Below are 7401 nucleotides of genomic sequence, written 5' to 3'. Positions count from 1 at the left end.
TCTCTGGATTTACTCTGTATTCTTCAATTTCTTTTAATAATGTTTTGTAGTTTTTAGTGTACAAGTCTCCTCCTTATTTAAATTTATTTCTAAGTATTTTATTCTTTTTGATACTATTGAAAATGGAAATGTTTTCTTAATTTCCTTTTCAGATTATGCATTGTTGAAGTATAGAAATGCAACTGATTTTTGTGCATTGATTTTGTATGCTGCAACTTTGCTGAATTCATTTATTGGCCATAGGCCATATAATAGGGGTGTGTGTGTGTGTGTGTGTATTCTTTAGGATTTTCTGTATACTGCACTGTATAAGATCATTCCATCTGTCTCAGTTTGTTCCTGCTGCTATAACAAAATACCTTAAACTTCTTAATTAATAAACAACAGAAATTTATTGCTCACTATTCTGGAAGTTGGGAAGTCCAAGATCAAGGGGCCAGCAGATTCAGTGTCTGGTGGAAGAGTCACTGTCTGCTTCAAATATGGTGGCTTCTTTCTTCATCTTCAAATGGCAGTAGCGGCAAACAGGTTCTCTCAAGCCTCTTCTATAAGGGCACTAATCTCATTTATGAGGACTCTGCCCTCATGACCTAATGACTTCCTGAAGTCCCCACCTCTAAATACTATCTTAATTGGGAATTTGAAGTAGGGAGACACCAACACTCAAACTGTAGAACCATTTGGAAATAGAGATAATTCTACTTATTTCTGTATTTCCAGCTGGTATGCCTTTTTTTTTCCTTCCCTAATTGCAGTGCATTGTTGAAATAGAAGTGACAAAAGCAGGCTTTTTTTTTTTTTCTTTTTTTTTGAGATGCAATCTCGCTCTGTCCCCAGGCTGGAGTGCAGTGGCGCGATCTCATCTTACTGCAACCTCCACCTCCCGAGTTCAAGCAATTCTCCTGCCTCAGCCTCCCAAGTAGCTGGGACTACAGGCACCCAGCCACCACACCTGGCTAATTTTTTAATATTTTTAGTAGGGACGGGTTTCACCGTGTTGCCCAGGCTGGTTTCAAACTCCTGAGCTCAGGCAACCCACTTGCCTCAGCCTCCCAAAGTGCTAGGATTACAGGCATGAGTCATAGCACCCAGCCAAAAGCAGGCATTTTTATCTGGTTCTTGATCTTAGAGGGAAAGCCTTCAGCCTTTCATCATTGATTTTGATATTAGCTGCAGGTTTTTCATAACTGTCCTTTATCAGGGTAAGGAAGTGCCCTTCAATTCCTGGTGTGTTGAGTATTTAACATGATATTGGATATATTGTGGGTGTATGCTATACATACATTTCTGGATGAATTTAGATGATTATGGTTTTTTTTTCCTTTCATTCCCTCAATGTGATTGATTAATTTAGCCAGCCTTGCATTCTTAGGATACATCCCACTTGGTCATGACATTTAATTCTTTTAATATGCTAGTGGATTCAGTTTGACAGTATTTTGTTAAATATTTTTGCATCTATATTCATAAGGAATATTGGATAGTAATTTTCTTTTTTTGCAATGTCCTTTATCTGACTTTGGGATCAAAGTAATGCTGGCCTCATGAGTTAGGAAGTATTCCTTCCTTTACGATTTTTAGAAGAGCTGGAGAAAGATTGTTGTTCATAACTGGTAATTAGTGAAAACTACTTCCATTATTGGGAGGTTTTTGATTACTGGGTCAGTATCTTTAATTTTTATAGATCTGTTCATATTTTCTTATTTCTTCTTGAGTCACTTTTTGTAATATGAGTGTTCTAAGAATTTGTCCATTCATCTTGGTTATCTAATTCTATTGGAGTACAGTTGTTCATAGTGTTATAATCCTTTTTAATTTCTTTAATGTTGGTAGCAATGTCTTTACTTTTATTTCTTTTTTTGGTAATATGAGTTTTCTCTCTTTCTTTCTTCATCATTCTAGCTAACAGTTTGTCAGTTTTGTTAATCTGTTCACAGAACCAACTTTGGTTTCATTGAGTGTGTATTTTTTCCTATTCTCTGTTTTGTTGACTTCTGCTTTAATCTTGATCATTCCCTTCCTTCTGCTAACTTTGGGTTCAGTTTGTTCTTATTATAGTTCCTCAAAATGTAAAGATAGGTTACAGATTTGAGATCTTTATTCTTTTTTCATGTATTTGTTTACATTAAAAAAGTACAACATATAAAAACTTTAAAAAAACTTATGGGATGCAGTGATAGCAGTGGTCAGGAATTATAAATTTCTAAACTTATAATGAAAATTTCTAAATTGTCTAAATTTATAATTTCTGACCATTGCTTTCACTGCATCCCATAAGTGTTTTTTTGGTTTTTGTTTTTGTTTTCTGTTTTTTTGAGACGGAGTCTCATTCTGTCGCCCAGGTTGGAGTGCAGTGGTGCAATCTCGGCTCACTGCAACCTCCGCCTCCTGGGTTCAAGCGATTCTCTTGCCTCAGCCTCTGCAGTAGTTGGTATTACAGGCATGCACTGCCCTGCCCAGCTGATTTTTGTATTCTTAGTAGGGATTTTACCATGTTGGCCAGGCTCGCCTTGAACTCCTGATCTCAGGTGATCCACCCACTTCGGCTTCCCAAAGTGCTGGGATTAAGGCGTGAGCCACTGAGCCTGGCCTCCATAAGTTTTTATATACTGTGCTTTTGTTTCATTCATCTCAAACTATTTCCTAATTTCCCTGTGATGTCTTCTTTGACCAACTGGTCACTTACATATGTGTTGTTTAATTTCCACATATTTGTGAAATTTCCAGTTTTCCTGTTATTAATTTCTGGTTTCAGTCCATTGTGGCTGGAGAAGATACGCTGTATGATGTCCATCTTACTAGATTTCTTGAGGCTTATTTTGTTGCCTAATGTATGCTCTGTCTTAAAGAATGTTCCATGTACACATGAGAAGAATTTGCATTCTGCTGTCGTTGGGTGTAGTGCTCTGTATATATGTGTTAGGTCTAGTTCTCATAGGTCCTTACTAGGAGAATTTTTATTATATTTATTTTTAGAAATTTTGTAATTTAGGTTAGTACTTTCTCTTTCATCAAGGGCATTAAATATAAGTTGTGCAGGTTTTCAAAAATTTCCTGGTGGGAATTTTTTTAAGTTTATTGATTTTGTGATTAATTTCCAGGTTTATTGAGCTGTGGTCAGAGTAGTATTTGCACATTTCTACATTATTGTGTTCCAGTATAACAACTATTTATGTGAATATTCTGTGCATGCATTTGAAGGTATACATTCTATTATCGCATCTTAACTTTTGATATATATCCGTACGACCTATCATATTGATTACACTGCTTAGGCCTTCTATAACCTTTGTTATCTTTTTCTGGTTGATCTGAATTGCACTGAGAGTGATCTGTTAAAGTATCCTATTAGTAGTTGACTCCTTGCATTTCCTGTAGTTCCTGCCTCATAAAAGTGGTCTCTGTTATACTCGATACTTAGATATTCATAACTGTACTGTCTTTCCCATGACTTCTGGCTTTTAGTATTAAAAAGTTCTTTATTTGTCTCATGTAATGTTTATTGCTTGAATTTTACTTTGTATGACATAAATATTGCTACCTGTGTTTTCTATTATTTCTGTTTTCCTGGTATGCCTTTGCTCATCATTTCATTTTTAGCCTTTCTGAATCCTTTGTTTCAGATGTGTCTCATGTCTCCAGCATATGACATTTGTGTCTTGCTTTGTAAACCAAAATGAAAATCTTTTAACAGATGAGTTAAGCTCATTTGCATTTATTGATATGACTTACAGGTGTAGTCTTAATTCAGTCACATTATTGTAATTATTATGAGTATTATATTTACTATTTTTCTTTCTCTGTAATGTTTTGTTTTTATTTTTTTAACTTATGTCTTTCTTAGTGCCCTTATTTCTGTTTTCTTATTTAATTTTTTACTATCTGTTTTGTCAGTTTCTAATGGTATTCTTTGAGTACTGTGTATGACCTATCCACCAAAGGGTTTATTTTAGATTTATCTTTTCCTTTTCTAAAATTTTAGTTATGTTATTTCTAGTTTGTCAGAACATAGAACATTTATATATTACTCTTTCATGTTTTCCCCACTTTTATTTTAGTTTCAGGTCCACAATTAACTATATTAAGTGCTCATCAGTGGTCCTTTTGCTGAATTTTCTTCAGTGATTTTTAGCTGAGTCAGTCTCATCCTCTAGCTGGTGCTTCAGAAAAGGCTCATTCTTACAAGTTTGAAACTGTTCTTCTATAGCCTTGACACTTGAGGGACAGTTTGGCTTGGTTCATATATTCTTTCATTGAGTTTCTTGAAAATGCTATTTCAGTGTTGCCTTGCATATTGCTTTTGAGAAATCTTACGCCGGATAATTTTGTTTGACCTTGTAAGTTATTAGATCTTTAGAGAACTGGGGATATTTTATTTACAATAAAACCTTATAATTTTATTAGAATATGTCTTGACATTGTTACAAATAAGTTTTCCTGGTACATTGTGGATCTTTCCAATATGTAGATTCAAGTATTATTTCTGAAATATTTTCTTGAGTTACAGTTATAAATATTAGTTCTGTTCCATTGTATATAGCTTTTTCCTTCTTCAGAGAATCCAATTGTACATATGTTTAATCTTCTTTCATTGTCTTCCATTTCAACAAATTTCCCTCTAATCCTTTCCATTTCATCTCATTTTCACTCTCTTCGTTCTTTTCTTTCTTTTCTTCAATGACTCATATTACATTTTTATTGGAATCTGTTCTCCTTTGGGCATCTTATAGTCCTTATTTCTGATATAATTTTTCTTTTGATTCTTTTTCTTCTTGAAATTAAATAAACTCTCATTTTATTTGTTCTTTTTTTTACAGGATGGAATTAATTTCTGTTCTTAGTTTTTAAATTTCCAAGCCAGAGTGTATGTTTGTTGTTGTTGTGTATACATTTTAAAAATCTCTAAATGCTTGCTTGAGAATTGTTGTAATAGAGGTGTTTCACTGTTAACTTTTTGGAGAAAATTTTTATCAGCCAAAATATTTTTATTCTCAGTTTTTGCCTTTGTCTTATTGTTCTCTTAATAGATAAAGACTTCTAATATATTTTATTTTGTGAATAGAGTTGTCTACTGGGATGATTTATACAATTCAAATGTGCCATCTTCTATCAGTAGTGAGATGTAAAGACTTTTTTCTTGAGTGGCTGTTTTCATAGGTACAGGGGAGGGATGGTGTGTCCTTCCATTTTTTTTGGTTTACTGTTGTTTGATAGAGTCTTCCATTTTCTCCACTTCGATTTCCCCTTCACCATGCATTTTTACTATGTTCCCACATAACTGGGACTTTTCCTTCTGCAGGTAGTTTTACCTCCACCCTTGCTTCTCTTTCTGGAGTCTTTCTGGATCCTCCCTCATCTTCAGTAAAGTGTGTGGTGGGAGCTACAGAAATGACTCTACTGGAAGTTTATGTTTGTCTATTTACAGGTCATTTTAAGCTTATGACGTCCTTCCTTTTCTAATTGTGCTGAAGAAATGGGCCATTGGTGGTTGTCTTTATATTATAGCTGTACAAAGATTGGTACATCTGCTCAATTTGGTTAATTGATCTGCTCAATTTTTAAATGATGTGTGGGGAGATTTAGCTTAGATGGTTATAATTATCTTAACTACCAGAAAGTCCCCAAGATGGAGTTTTAAAATAATTGTACATCTATAGTTCATGAGGCAAGGAATAGCTACATATTAATACATAATGGATAGTTTCAAAGAAATTAGGATATTCTTGGGTAGAAAAGTTGTACTTTATTGCAAATCTTTTAGTAACCTCATAAAAACATGGCACATTCAAAACAAAATCTTTTAATTCAAACTTGCATTGACCCAGGTTACAGGGCAGTATGTCTCAAAGGAGGGTTCATGTCTTACCACCTGAAGAGCTTGCTACTGAATCAGAATTTCTGTAGCACATTATTGTACTTGTTAAAACTGCACAGACAGCCTCTTTATTGTTTCACAAAGAGCTCCCACATGCAATCTAAACTAAGAGTGTGAGAGCCTGTCAAAGCTGCTGAGCTTTGCTCTCTAAGGACAAAAAGACTTGAAAATAATTTTTCCTCCTTATTTTCATTTTTAGTATAAGTGCTGCTGAGGTGAGCACCCTTATTTTCATTTTTAAATGTTACTAATGCTGATTTGTCCTTTAGACCTAAGTTGATCTGTTGTTTTTTAACCTTTAACTCAAGGGATGTGATACAACCACTTGTATATCCCATCATTTAGCACTGCAGGCAGCAAACCCAACACTTTTTGCTTTATAAAAATATTTATTTATTTATTTATTTATTTATTTATTTATGAGACAGGGCCTCACTATGCTGCTCAGGCTGGACTTGAACTCCTGGGCTCAAGCAATAGTCTGTATTCAGCCTCCTATGTAGCTGGGACTATAGGCATGTGCCACCATGCCCAACCTGCTTTTTTTACACTGTAGTTTTTATTTTTTTTATGACATGTAGGGCATTATCTTATTTTTTTTATTTTTAATAGACTTTTTGGGTCAGTTTTAGGATCACAGCAAAATTGAGCATAAAGAAGAGAGTTCCCATATTCCTTTTCCTCTCAGCACTCACAGCCTCTCCTACCATCAACACCTGGAGCAGCAGTGATAACATTTGTTACACTTGATGAACCCATTTTGAGACACCATTATCACCCAATGTTCATAGTTTATATTAAGGCTTACTCTTGGTGTTATAAATTCTGTGGGTTTGGACAAACTTATAATGATATATTTCCACCGTTGTAGCATTACACAGAGAGTAGTTTAACTGGCCTAAAATTCCTCTGTGCTCTATCTATTCATTCTTCCTCCCTAATCCCCATCTATCAGTGATAGTTTTACTGCAGCCATAGTTTTTCCATTCCCAGCATGCCATATAGTTGGAATTGCACAGAATAGCAAAAGCTATCACAAAAGACTCTATAAAACTGCAACCTTGAACAAAGGGTATTGCAACCATACATTAAAAAAATACTTCTGTGAGGACATCTATTCAGCCACTGCCTGTTCAAACCTGGACTGGCATCACCCTCATTATTGATCATTATAGTCAAGGATAATTATGTCAAAACAATTATGTAATCCTCCCTATTTTTGTCTTCCTTGACCTCCATGAATATGTGCGCAGTTTACTATATGTGCATGGTTTACTATATTTCCATTGAACTGCTTCATTCCCAAATAAATACCATTTGCTTTCAGACAGCCTCTCTGCTTGTTGTTTAGGTCAACACTGGCTACTGTAGGTGGAGCCTAAATTTGATCACTGGTCCTTACTCCAAATTTTGTCCCCATTTTTCCTAAACCACAGGTTTCTGTTACTATAATAATCTAAACAAATAATTGAAGCGTTCTACACTATTGATATCTGTTCCTGATGACTTTTTTGTTAAGGTGGGGG

Source organism: Homo sapiens, chromosome 7 (genome assembly GCF_000001405.40).
Source record: "Homo sapiens chromosome 7, GRCh38.p14 Primary Assembly".
NCBI lineage: Eukaryota > Metazoa > Chordata > Mammalia > Primates > Hominidae > Homo > Homo sapiens.
This window is presented reverse-complemented; position numbering follows the sequence as displayed.